Below are 15,415 nucleotides of genomic sequence, written 5' to 3' on the forward strand. Positions count from 1 at the left end.
AGCCTCCCAAAGTGTTGGGATTACAGGTGTGAGTCACCATGCCCAACCGCTCTTTTCACCACCTCTGTGTGATCTATTTTCAGTTGCTCTGCTTAAAAATGAACTCCTTACTGCATAGAAATTGCCTAGTATCTTAGCCAATTCAAGCTGCTTTAACAAAATACCACAGACCAAGTGGCTTGAACAATGGAAATTTATTTCTCATTCTTCTGAAGTCCCAGATCAGGGTGCCAGTGTCACTGGGTTCCGGTGAGGACCCACTTCTCAGTTTATAGAAAGCTGTCTTTATGAGATGACTTCACATAGCAGGGAGAAAGTGTGAGCTCCAGTCTCATTCTCTTCTTATAAAGACACTAATACCGTCATGAAGATTTCACTTTCATGACCTCCTCTACAACTCTCAAAGTTTCACTCTCAAAGACCTCACTTCCAAATCCCATCACATTGGGGGTTAACATTTCAACATATGAATTTAGTGGGTACACAAATATCCGGTCTGTAACATCTAGCTACTAACAAATTCAAGCAATAAAATTTGCATAATTCTGAAGGGTCTACTGGTGCTTAAGAACTTCACCCATATTATATCACCCATATCAATATTTCATTTTTCCAAGATGAAAAAAGAATGGTGAACATGAATTAAAAAATCAATAATAGAAATAGTGTCATGGACATGTTTTTACCTTTCTTTCGCTTTTCATTGCATTAAAAAAATTAAAACCTAAGTATAGGATGAATTCTGATATATTTTGAAAGACAGGTCTGTGTATTTCATGTGATATATTTGATGTCTCTACTAAAGTACTGGAAATCCAGGGAGATAACTGAAAAAAGCAAAACTGTATACTGTGGAAATTTTCCTATAAATTAATGAGTAATTTATATATGGAGAATTGATGATGTGAAATACCCTAATTCTAATGATTTCAGGAAAAATTTTAAAAAAGAAAGAATTTGCTGGTAATAGCAGCTACTGAGTATTAAATGTTCTCTATACAATACATTCTTTTTATCACTCTACTTTATACTTAAAACATTTTTAGAAAGCAGGGGTCATTACTCTCCTTTTATAATTGAATAAATTAAAACTCAAGAGAGACTGCCTTTTTTAAGGCCACACAGACTTTGCTGGTTGAATCTACAGAAATGGAATTCAGAAGCAGACCTAAAGCCCACATTCTTTTCTGTATTGCCTACCATCTCCTTAAAGAGAACTAGGGAAACAGAATTTCTTACATTGGCATATATGGTCAGAGTTAATTAAGATATAAAATATGTTCAAAACATTTTTCGTCCTTGCTTAGCACATTGTTGTAAAAATTTTGCATGGCCAACCTTCGCAATTTTTAAAACATACCTGCTTCACTGAAATTTGAAATCTACCTCTTTAGATACTCTATTCAAAGGAGTTTCTACTGGGGAAATATTGGCAATTTCAATAAAATTATTCCTTGTTTAGAATTTGAGAGAGTTCCCTGTGCTGAAGGTACCAGTGGCACCCCTTTTTCCTTCACTTCCCATGCTTGTCCCCATCTTCGTGATTCCTTAATTACAGACTAGGTCGTGATACTGAATGACCTAACCACCACTGAACAAGTATTTGGCTAAAGTAAGCATTAAACTATTTCAATGCAATGAAAGTGAACAGTTACATGTGTCTGTGCCCTCAGCTAATTATAATACAGAGAAACTTTCCTTTGTATTTTATAGGGACTTCTTAGTGACCAACAGAGGAATGATTCTATGGTTACCTTCATTAGTCCATTAAAATTGCTTTTTCAGGTGACTCACTAACAACTTTTCTTTTTACCTTTTCCAAACGCTAAAATTAAAAAAAAAAAAACATTTTTAAGTTGTATAAAACTGTTTTCCACATGGTTATTTTTGGAATTGCTTGAAAAACAAATTTTTTAAAAAAATCCCTTAATCTCCCATAATAATCCTTTCTACTGAAATGTAAAGCATATGAAGCATTGAATGAGGAGAACAAACGGTCCATGACAAAAGTTTCTGGCCAGGCAGAGACTGTAATTAGTACTAAAAATGATAACATCAGATAATGAACAGGACCAAAACAGAGCACTTTTCATAATTTTATTTTGAATCCACAGCAATTCACAAGTTTAAGTCATGTTAATTATAAAAAGGAAGAGAAGAGAAAAGGCACATAGGATAATAGATAATATATTTAATATGACTATGCTTAAAATAATATATTTTAATAAATATTACTTAATCCTAGTCATAAGAACTACTTAATAATTACTAAGTTATATGAACAATTAAGATTAAGTGATATCATATTAGTTAACCATATGATTTCAGCCTCCCAACGCCCTTATTAGAAAAGCCCTTTATTATGTCAGTTTTACTAGGAAACTGGAATTTACAAAGTTTAAATAACTGACCCAAATCCTCACAACAAACTGGTAAAAAAAGCCAATATGGGAACTCTATTCTGTCAAACACCTGAGGCTACACTCTTGACCCACTATGTGCTACAAGTCATTATAGACCTACCTGTAAACCTAATTGAAAGCTTGTGTCAATGTGTAGTTTTATCTCTTATAAAGCATATAAGTTTTGGTAGATCAGAAGGAGTTCTCTGAAACAATGTCCTTCACATTGTGAATTTTCAATAGGATTTTGAGCATTATAAGGAGAAATGAAGTGTTTCCATTTTCTGCAGCAACATGCATTGTTTAATATGAGAAATCATAAGATATGAGGGAAATCATAAGATATAAGGGAAAAGTCCACACAAATGGAAAACACATACAAGGGTGCACACACACACACATACACACACACACAAAATGTCCTTATAAGCAAACAATGAATATAGGAGCACAAGAAACAATTTCCCTTGTAAAGTTGAAGTTAACAGGACAGGGAACAGGACAGGGAAAAGTAATTAACTGGGCAAATAGAGCTAAGCCACATTACTGATTAATTTGCAAAACAATTAACTTTCCACTTAAAATTCAAATTAAGATTCTGTCTGCCTTAGGCAACCAGTGTTTGCAAATTTTAATAGGGCTAGACATTAAGTGCCTTACTTAAAACCAACTTTACATGGCACTGGGTGAGAATATTATTGGAACAAGCAGCTCATGGCATTCTTGGGTTTCAGTTATTTTTTTAAGAGAAAATATTACAATCTATAATAATATGCTGGATGCACTAAAATTTTTTCAATGAGAATATGAGTAAAACTAAAAGTTATTCAACTCCTCATCTCAAATATTTATAGAGATTTTGTACTTTCTGTAAAATTTTCAAGACGATGTCTCATAAAACATCTTCTGAACACTTATTTTCCAACCGTTCAACAAGTATACTATGTACCAGGCCCTGTGATAGACTCTGGAAACCAAGAAATATGAGGCATAGTTTCTTTTCTTTGTAATTTTACATCCACAAAACTGAGGGGCTAGTGGAAGAAAGAACTGCTGAGTCAATTAACTCTGTCATTGGTTAAACTTGTTAACCAACTATTCTTTTCAACTTGAAAAAGCATACAAGTAGCCACACAGACAGGTGAGAACAGCCACCCTTCACTCCATTGAAAAAAAAGCAGCTTCCAGGGTTTTGATGTTTTCTAAACAAGATCAAACAATCAATGAAAAGCAATGCCAGGAGTCTATAAACATTCAGCAGAGGTAAGCTGGCTGTCTCACATTTTCACACACCTTTCTGGTTCATGCAGCTCCTATTTCTTGTTCTTATCTTTCTTTTTCTCTGACCTACGTTCCAGATATCTTTAGAGTTGCTGCTATGGGGAGCTGTATGTGATTATCTGACTGGCTTCTGGGCATCTTTTTCATAGTTTTAACTGGACTTTTGATGTCTCACACTGGACAACAACATTCTATTTCATTCTTATGTCACCAAACTGGTTGGTCCCAGCCCACATGGCCTCCTTCCTGGTCACGAGCTTGGAACAGGGAAACACAAGTTACTTTTGTACATGGCAACAGGAGAGAATATTAGACTCAAAACAGATCTAAAAGAACATCTGATGTGCACTTCATTCTGTACATGAGGGGCTCAAAAGCTCCAGGAAGTCAGGAACCACCTCTGTTCTATTCATCTTCGTGTCAAAGTAAAGTACTTGTGTAGTGCCTGGCACATAGAGAGCACTCAGTATTTATCTAATACCACGCAAATCACGCTGAAATCTCTGTGCCCAGTTCTTGATATTTGCTTGGTAACTCGGAAACTATGACACCGTAGACAAGTAAACTGCCTATTGCTTATTTATGTATTTGTCTTTTTAAAAATCTCCTAAAATAGAATATAAATATCATGAGCCACATGATTTTGTCTTGCTCATAAATGTATTTCCAACTACTAAAACATCACCTGGTTCATAGTAAGAGCTCAGGAAATATTCCATAAATAAAAGAAGAATGTTAGTTAAGAAAAATAACCTATGTACCCAGTATTGTAAAAAAAAAAAAAAAAACTCTCCTATATATAAGTTATATAATATTTTCAGTTTATTTTTTCAGGTCGATGCTTAAGCAGAGAAGAGCCTAAAATAAAACTCACCTTTGGCTGTATCAGCCCATCACTATGCCTCTGAATATGCCTTCTTAAGAGGTAAACTTATGTCCCAGTGGGTTCATGAATTTTACTTCAGCTTTCTTTAAGTTTCCTAAGTATGCCCTGTGAACTGACCTTCATTTTCTCATTTATTCTATCTCATTTCTCTCTTCTCAGTATGCAAATCCCATTTTTCCAATGCTTGCTATTATTAATCCAATATCCTTCCAATTACCATGGCAAATATTGATGGACTAAGAGCCTAGGCTACCATTTTTGTTTAATATATAATTTTACTATACCAAGGAATCATTAATTATAATTATTTTTCTCTAAGTATATTAACACAAATACAGACAAATACAATATAGAATAATACATAACTAATAAAAATTAATACACATATACTTTTAAATTTTAGAAAGAACTTACATGTATATTTTATGCAAATAACTTATATGTATGTTTTATGCACTTTCTCATTGAAGTAAGATTTATTTTGCTGTTACTTTTTAGGAGATGTTTGATATCCTAGGGAATTTTAGTGTTTTTTTGACCATCGCTAAATTGGAATTCTTATTAGTTAATGATGTTGCTAGGAATGGAATTTCATTTGGAAGAAGCATTAAGCTACTTAAATAGCAATCTCAACTGTATCAGCCTACCTTTCTCAATTTGCCTTGTGATTTAATGTAAACTCGGAAAAGGGAGAGAACTTCGACTACAAGTAAGTGAATGGTAAGTTCATCAGCTAGCCATTATTGGTGGCTTCTTTGGCTTCCAAAGAAGAAGTTAACTTAAGTATAAACCTTGAATCTGTGACTTAATGTGGAAATAATTAGAAATTTGCATGGATTACCATTGTTCCTGTGTTTCCCTTACTTTTCAATCAAATATTGTTTCAAATTTCATGCTAGCTTGAATAACTATTTTTATAATAAGCAAAACAGAAAAAGCTAACTTAAATATATGTTTATTATATCAAATTTTTGATAATAGCTATCCCCTGGATAGTAACCCAGATGTGTCTATGTGTTTGTGAAAAGAAGCCTATGGGGTATGATGTCATGAAAAATCGCTTTCAGATTTTGCTGCGTATTCTGCTATGTTGGTAGAATTCAGTACATGAGACTATGTTCACATAGTACAAAAATAAATAACATATAGTACAATTTTGCATATAACATCTATCTAAATTCAAATATAGTTCTTATCATTCACACTTGAGATCCAGATTCCATTTAAATAATATTTATTAATCTTCTATCACATGCAGGAAATGTTACATATATTACTGTAACTAAATTAGGTTACTCTTCAACTTGGCAATGAAAAATCCCCTTTGGCATAGACTTTGCTATTAAAAAAGAAGTTGGTGCAAGTTTTACAAAAGAAGGGAAATTTTTCCTGGGGCCATTCATAGTTGACACTCAGAAATTATAGTGGAGGAACACCTAGAATAGAACAGATTAGAAGAACAAGCAGCTGCATTTCCATACCTCCAAGCTCTATTCTCACAGTCTGTAATCTAACTACATTGAACTTCACTCATCTACATGTTTGTTATTTCTACAGCCACACTTTACCATCTTGACTCTAGGGTTGAAATCCCAACTACTATGAGCCTTTTCTTTCAGACACTGGTCATTTTAGAAAATGTAAAATCAATTAACCAAGTTCAATTCTGAAAATCTCTCGAGTGCATTTTCCATGTAGAGAGAGAGTTCTCTGGCATAAATAGGTTCAGTAATTAACAGCTTGACTCAAATGTCATTTTGAAGGATTCATTAATTCACCTCTTCTTTAATTCATCATATGTTGATTACTTAGTAACTACAGGGCAGGCTCTGTTCAAAGTACTGGAGACCAGGGCCGGGCGCTGGCTCACACCTGTAGTCCCAGCACTTTAGGAGGCCGAGGTGGGCGGATCACTGAGGTCAGGAGTTCAAGTTGAGACCAGCCTGGCCAACATGGTGAAACACTGTCTCTACTAAAAAAAAAAAAAAAAAAAAAAAAAAAAAAAAAAAATTAGCCGGGTGTGGAGGTGTGTGCCTGTAGTCCCAGCTACTCAGGATGCTGAGGCAGAAGAATCTCTTGAACCTGGGAGATGGAGGTTGCAGTGAGTCCAGATTGCACTACTGCACTCCAGCCTGGGCGACAGAGTGAGACTCCATCTCAAAAAATAAAAAAAATGTACTGGAGACCAAACCACGAAGAAGGCACAGTTCCTCCCTCAAGGAGCTTGCAGGCTAATCAGGGGAGAACAGTTGCTTCAGGCCTGACTGCCATTTAGAACCAGCCTTTCAGTTGAGCATAAAAATCACAAGATTTGTGACAAGCTGTTCCAAACACAAATGCCTGCAGGGACTAGGGAGGAAAGAGAAAAACGTAAAGCAGGACAGGTAAAAATTGTGTTTGTTCCTCTAAATGAAGCAAAAGCTACACAAATGCAGTTGATTTTGGCCTCATGGGAGTGGACTCTAGTGTTACTGGATCTTTCCATTCTTAACAAGTCAGAAATCTGTATTTTTTTAAACCCTTCTTTGTTTAATGTTGCCACTAGTATGGGGTTTGAACAAAACATGTGGGACAAATTTGGCTCAAGGTTGGCCAGTTTCCATGTGTCAAAAACCAGTGACCTCTAGATATCAATTGCCATCAGGAAAGCTCCTTATTTGAATGGGCACTGAACCCAGCCATGTTTCAGATCCTCAGTCAACAACAGGAGAGCAGAACCTGCTGCTTCCATGGAATGTTATAAGAATTAATGGCCCTGTGAAGGACTTAGATCTCCTTGGATAAAGGAACTGTGCAAGTAAACATTGTAATCAGTAATATTATGTTGTACTGGTTGACCCAAACCATGGCAGGTCAGTTCTGCATGTTACATACAGTGGTGGAGAAATCAGTTAGAGCTATTCACTATCAACTTCTAGAACTTTCCTAAACACCTGTAATTTATCTGTAAATTACCTAGAAGAGTTTGTAAGTCTCTTCAGAAAAATGCAAATCTGATTTCTAAAACCGTCTTAATTTTAAAAGGTAATCTTAATTATTTACCAACTACTCATAAAATTTTTGTGCGGACTTGAAGTGCAGTTAAGTATGAGAAAAGGAGATTAGCTGGTACATGCACACGTTCTGTAACAGAACACAGCCTGTCTGCTGGAGAGATGACAGTGAATGAGTCCCCCATCCTGATTTTCCCACAGCTTAATAACCTCCAAAACAAGGAAGTGGACATAGCGAAACTGGTCTCCATAGATTCACTTTTCCCATAACAGAGATTCTATTTTAATAAGGCTGTTAGTCAGACAAAACCCCTATTGACCTGTGGCAGCACATTGCATGCTTTCTCTTGTTTCCCCGGTTTTACCAGTGCTTAGGAAGCAAGCCAATATCAAGTGTGGGTCAGGCTAGTAGCTGGAGATATGCCCTGTGACTCATCTTTATCTTCAGTGTGCTTCTTTGAATATTGCACAACTGCCCATGACAGAGACACATTTTAAAGGGATCCAGACTACTCAGGCTTGAACAGAAAAGAAAACCTAGCATATGTTGAATGAATAATACAATCCAAACCAGTGATTTTTTAAAAGTCTCCTCTCAAATATTATGTATCAGGGATGTAAATTAATCAAGACTGCCTTTCCCCCATTAAAGGTCTGTGAACAAGTTGGGGATAAATCTGAATAACTACATATGTAGTTACAACAGATTTCTGGGATCTCTGCCCTGATTGGAAACAGTTTTGTCTATGTCCCATGTTATAATATAAATGTAAATAGAAGATGTTGGCCCTTGAGTCAAACATAGGATTCTTGAGCATTTCAATTACAAGCACTTTGCAGCATTGCTCCCTTGTATATACCAACTTGAGAAATAATGGCTCTGCCCCAAGTTTAAAAAATATCAAGCCCTGGGAAGAAATTTGCCCTATAAGAACATATATATGGCTACTTTCACCTTATGATAACAGGATGATGTCAATCACCTATTAAAAATAAGTAGGGTGGACGCAACGGCTCCCACCCATAATCCCAGCACTTTGGGAGGCCAAAGCAGGAGAATTGCTTGGGCCCAAGAGTCTGAGACCAGCCTGGGCAACATGGCGCAACCCTGTCTCCACAAAAGATAGAAAACTTAGTGGGGCATGGGGATGTGCACCTATAGTCCCAGCTACTCAGGAGGCTGAAATGGGTGGATCGCATGAGCCTGGGAAGTCAATGCTGTAGTGAGCTATGGTTGCACCACTGCACTCCAGCCTGGATGACAAAGCAAGACCCTGTCTCTAAAAAAAATAAAAAAGTAAATAAGTAAATAAACTCAGCTAGATAGCAAAAAAAAAAAAAAAAAAAAAAAAAAAACCCAAACCTCATAAGCTCTTTTGCTGGAATTTGTCACGTAGCTGGAGATACAAAGTACCCAGTCTTGGAAAAGATTTAAGAACTATGTTTAAGCTTGCCATCAATGTACAAACATTAAAATAATTAGAAATTCACATGGCAAATTTGAAACTAAACTAATAAAAAGAAATTTCTGGTATTTTCTGCCACAATTAAATTTTAAAATATGGTAAGATTGATATACATAATACTCTCGCTTAGGATCTGGTCTATTCCAAATAGAATTGTTCTCACAATAGCAATGTATTTTATAGTGACCATACAGTCATGATGATCATCAAAGGGACAATAAGAATACACAGATAAAAAGAGTACAATGGGATTAAACAGATTGTGTTTCATAGATTCATTTCTGACTTTCTTGCTAGTAATGGAAAAGTAATGCAGACTTACTTCATTTCCAAAACAGAGACTTAGTTATTTGGTTACAAGCTCATTAAAATACCAGATTTATTATCATGATTAATATATATATATATGTATATATATAGTATATATATAATTATATATAATATGTATCAAATATGTAATTATATATACATATAGAGGATATTATTAAAGTGATTGACAGTTAATATTTGAATTATGTCTCTATGTAAAATTGAGGTTTGAATAACACCTTGATTTGTATCCAGTAATTTGAGTTGTAGAATTTATTCATCTAAGCTCTAGAGAAAAGGCTGCCATCTACTGAAAAATTAGGGTGTCTTCTTGGAGTCCAAGGATAGTCCCGAGAAAACTCTACTACCATTGTGGCCATTACTTTTTCTAAAAGCTACAAAATGAAAAATGAGGTACCATGATTATTCCCCCGGCATTTAAACAAATAAGGAGAGGGATGTATGTGAGACGGAGGGGCAAACACGTTTGGTGTATGGAGGGTTCACCGTAAAGTGAAGGGGTGAGGGTTGGGGAATCACTCAATAACAGTACTTAGAATTACCAAGACCTGAAATCTGGGAAAAAATTGGTTGGTGGACTAAAATATAAACAAGATGAAAACATTGAGATAAATGGGGGGAAAATTAGAAGCTCTGAAAACAGAAACCACAGAAATATAGATGGGAGAGAGAAAGTGAGATAGAAATAGAGGCTAAAAATAGGGAGGCATTAGTAGTTCTGAAGAATGGAGGTATACAGTTTATCTGACACCTTCCAGCCCTGTCTAGCATGTCCTTCTGTACTGCAGAGACTCATGAGTGACATATTTCACACAATGCCTTTCAGGTTATTCTGGATACTATTTTGACTTCAAATATTAGTTACATTTGCAAGAAATTTGTTTTGACCCTGAGTTACATAGAAAGAGAGGATGGTTTCAGCACGTTCATTTCGTTGACCTGGATGGTGACAGAGGAGCCATGTTCCTGGAGCCAGCAGCTTTGTTAATGGTTCTCTGACATGGAAAGAAGCTTCCAGATACTTCAACGTTTACATCATGGTAGAAGCAGTACCTTCTGGGTTGTCCAGTATTGCTTGTGGTTTTGGGGATTATTCCTGAAGGCTGAGGCTAGTCTATTTGTTCACTTTCCCCAATAATTCTATGAACTGTATATTTGTTTGGAAATACTTTTCTGTGGACACTAACTAGAATGGATTCATAGGTCTCAGTAAAAAAAGTTGACTGGTACAGAAGGAAATACACTATGAACTGTATATTTGTTTGGAAATACTTTTCTGTGGACACTAACTAGAGTGGATTCATAGGTCTCAGTAAAAAATGTTGACTAGTACAGAAGGAAATTGTTGAGTTGGTTGGGACAAAAAGAGATCTTTCCATTTTTCATATAGTATTATTGAATAGGGCTGTGAGCTTGTTTCTCACTCAGTTGTGGAATGTTAACTGATTAATCTCACAGGGATTCTTCAGCCTTAAACTCTTATTAGTGGGTTTACTTTGAACATAAAAATATTCATATCCTATTAGCAGACAAATTCATTAGGATTCATCAAGATCCAAAACCTAGTCACATAGGAAACTTGATGAAGTCAAACCAGCATGACAAAACTTCCTGCTTCCAGGTTGACCCTTAACATTGATAACAGCTTTTGCTTTATTTTGTTTCTAAAGATGATTTCAAAAGCAATTTATGGTTTTTACTGGGACTAGAGTTTCATAAAAGAACATGGCTGATAGTGGGTCACCAATCTGAATGCACAGTCAGCTAAAGTAGTAGGGAAAAGCTAAGTGCAGTCAGAAGCAGAAACAATGATTTAGAGCTATATGGGTCATATGAGGCGGAGGAGGTAAGAAAAATGACTTTTCACAATATGACAAGGAATACAAATATGCAGAAGGAAACAGATTCTCTAATAGATGATTAAATAAAATGAATGCAGTATGTGCTATAAAATTTAAGGTAAACAATAATTATTATAGGTCTATTGAAAGAAAAATAAACGGAAAGCTGAGAAATGCATTGAGCTGAAGGACTGAGCAGAGCCAGTCCCAGCAGAGCCAGTAAGCCCAGCAGAGCCCAGCAGAGCCAGTAAGATACAAAAGGCCAGGCATGGTGGCTCATGCCTGTCATTCCAGCACTTTGAGAGGCAGAGGTGGGCAGATCACCAGAGGTCAGGACTTCGAGATCTGCCTGACCAACATGGTGAAACCTTGTCTCTACTAAAAATACAAAAATTAGATGGGCACAGTGGTACGTGCCAGCTACTCAAGAGCCTGAGGCAAGAAAATTGCTTGAACTCAGGAGGCGGAGGTTACAGTGAGCCAAGAGTGCACCGCTGCACTCCAGCCTGAGTGACAGAGTGAGACTCCATCTCCAAAAGAAAAAAAAAAAGTTACAAAAGAAAGATTCTAAGCAAATGCCCATAAAATGCACAAGTGCTTTAAGTTGAAATCAGTATGTTGTTTTCTAAGGCACTGTGCTTTTAGGAAAAGGAAGTGAAAAAAAGGTATCTCCTTGTTAAAATCCACAAGTTTCTTAGAAGTGGCAATTTCATGGAGGCATCACAGTACTCCCCTTCAAACTATACTATAAGGCTACAGTAACCAAAACAGCATGGTACTGGTACAAAAACAGACACATTGACCAACAAAACAGAATGGAGAACCCAGAAATGAAGTCACATGCCTACCACCATTTGATCTTTGACAATGTTGACAAAAATAAGCAACACAGAAAGAACTTCCTATTCAATAAATGGTGTTGAGATAACTGGCTTTGCCATATGCGGAAGAATGAAACTAGACCCCTACCTTTTACCATATACAATCATGAACTCAAGATGGATTAAAGATTTAAATGTAAGATGTCAAACTGTAAGAATCCTGGAAGCAAACTTAGGAAACACCAGTCTAGACATCAGCCTTGGGAAAGAATTTATGACTAAGTACCTAAAAGCAATTGCAATAAAAACAAAAATCAACAAGTGGACTTAACCAAAATAGAGAGATTCTGCACAGCAAAAGAAACTGTCAACAGAGTAAACAAACATTCTACAGAATAGGAGAAAAATATTCACAAACTATGCATCTGACAAAAGTTTAATATTCAGAATCTATAAGAAACTTAATTCATCAAGCAAAAAACAAATAACTCCATTAAAAAGTAGGGAAAAGCCATGAACAGACACTTCTTAAAAGAAGACACGCAAGCAGCCAATAAACATGAAAAAGTGCTCAACATCACTAATCACCAGATGAATGCAAATTAAAACCATAATGGGATACCATCTCACAACAATTAGAATGGCTACTATTAAAAAGTCAGAAGACAACAGATGCTGGCGAGGCTGTGTAGAAAAGGGAACGGTTATACACTGTTGGTGGGAATGTACATTAGTTCAGCCACTGTGAAGAGTTCACTGAAGCACTGCCTACAATAGCAAAGACATGGAATCAACCTAGGTGCCCATTAATGGTGGATTGGATAAATAAAATGTGGTACATATACACCATGGAATATGATGCACCCATTAAAAAAATGAAATCATGTTCTTTGCAGCAACGTGGATGCAGCTAGAGACCATTATCCTCAGCAGGAACAGAAAACTAAATGCTGCATTTTCTCACTCATAAAAGGGGGCTAAACACTGTGTACTCATTGACATAAAGATGGCAATCATAGACACTGAGGACTACTAGAGGAGAGAGGGAGGGGTGCAAGGACTGAAAAACCATTGGGTACTATGCTCACTATCTAGATGGCAGGATCAATCATACCCCAAACCTCAGGATCAAACAATATACTCATGTAACAAATCTGCACAGGTACCCCCTGAATCTAAAATATAAGTTAAATTACAAAGAAAAAAGAAGTAGTATCAGGTTCTCAGTCACTGCATGGAAGATAAAATAGATCTCACATGGGAAATCCAGATCTTGCTGAAGACATCCAAGTCCCTTTATGTTCTATAATTTCAATAACAGCTTCCAATGTGGGAGCTCTTTTACCTCTGGGAACGTTAACCCATAAAAAAATAGAGCAGAAGTGAGACTCCAATCTTTAACCTGACACAGAAACTTCTTGTAAAAGTCAGTAGGCCTTGAAAGAAAGTTAATATGCCACAGAATTTGGCTTTATGGCTTTGATGGTGTGTGAATACATTTAAATGAAAAGAGAGACTGTCAGTGGCGGAGAAGCTGAGGACTAGGAAAAGGACACCATGTTGCCACATTAGTATGTGATGTAATTTTTTCCATCACTATTTTCTTAGACACAATATTAAATTGTAATGTTACTTTTATTTAAGCCAATCAGTATTACATATTGTATGATTTAATGCTGTAATTCAACTCACCTTTCCCAAGAAGATAGTTATTAATGTAATGTTTAAATTGTTATCACTCTGTGTACAATTATAAAGATGATGTTATTCTTATTTTCTAACAGGAGGAAGACTTTTTCCAGCCAAGTTACTTTAGCCATTTCAACCCCTTTCTCCTTAATGGGAAGCAGATGGCTATTGATTGATTCCTGCAGAGAATGTTGAAACATTAGATCCAGTAGAGAATGCCAAAGAGCTGCAGCAATTCATGGGTAAAAGGGAGAGTTTTTCAGAGATATTACAGGGAAGTGTTATTTTTTATCTTCCATCTCTCAATTAATAAAGATTTGAGCAAATACATAAGCCATGACCAAAATTTAACAAGGAGGAGCCTGAGGATAGCAGCAGAAACCCCAAAGTGATTAAGTGAAATGAGAACAGCATGAGATTTAGCAGGGAAAAAGTTTGCTTAATTCTACCAGGTTTAAATTCTTGCCAGTTCCTTGAGAAGGAGGAAATGAAGAAGGATTCAATGTTCCTCTAGGTATCCTTTACAGGGCTGTATTCGATATAAACATGTTTTATTGCAGGCAATAGAGCAAATCACCATTTGATTAGGGTAGAGAGCAGATTCTATGCCATCAGTGCCTTGAACTTTGTTCAGTGCCTTGGACGTTGTTACAAGTACAGATGTGTTGGGTTACCTCTACTTGCTTTATAGAAACAAAATTTTCTCTAACATACCATAGATGTAGGTTGAAAATGTACGGTTATATAGCCCCATCACTCTGAACTCTATGTTTCTATACCTCATCCAATACAATGGCTCAGTTCTCTCCCTGGGTCCCTGCTCTTGATTATGAGAATAGTATGTAATTAATTACCTTTAGGAGAAACATAATGTTTTAATTCACTCTACAAAAAGGATTCTTTGTTAATAAAAACATAGATGCACTTTACTATTACTACTGTTACCACTAGTCAATGTCAATGGCTACTGTTTATTAAGAACTTACTTTGTGACAGTCATTATAATCCATGAGTGTACATTACCATAATTGGTTAACACACCTCCAGGTGGTAAGTATTTTTATTATTAGCTCCACTTACATATAAGGAAACTGCAGCTTAGTGAATTTAAGAAACTTGCTCGAGGCTACACAGTTTGTAAGTGGTGCACATGGTTTGAACCCACTGAATCATCCCTTTCATTGACTACTTTGTTCTTCCAGAGGAAGCAGTAACTTACAAGTAATTCAAAGTATTATTGCTTAATCAATGACTAATCTCCTGAACCAACTTTCAGATATTAAACACAGACAGATATACAGATGTCTTTTCACATAGCTATGTTTTAATCTTGGAAAGAAATATAAATATCCCATTTCGTCCTCATAATAGCTATTGAGGAGGATATGATAGGTTTTATCATGTAAAATTTATCATGGGGTAATTGAAGCTCAAAGATATATAATCTGTCTAAAATTACACAGCTAATATTTGGCAAAGCTTGAGTCTTCCAAATTTAGACATTTTTTTTTTTTTTTGCCAATCCACAAGGTTTACCCAAGATAGTCTTCCAATAAAACTATGCCCATCTGTCTCAATCCCTGATTGCTGACCTCCTGAGATATTTTTAAATCATGAAATGCTTTCAAACTGATTAGCTAGTATTTATAAACTAGTGAGCACTAACCACCTCAGAAAGGAATTTGAGACTTGTCTTAAACACGGAA

The sequence above is a fragment of the Homo sapiens genome, chromosome 21, assembly GCF_000001405.40.
Source record: "Homo sapiens chromosome 21, GRCh38.p14 Primary Assembly".
NCBI lineage: Eukaryota > Metazoa > Chordata > Mammalia > Primates > Hominidae > Homo > Homo sapiens.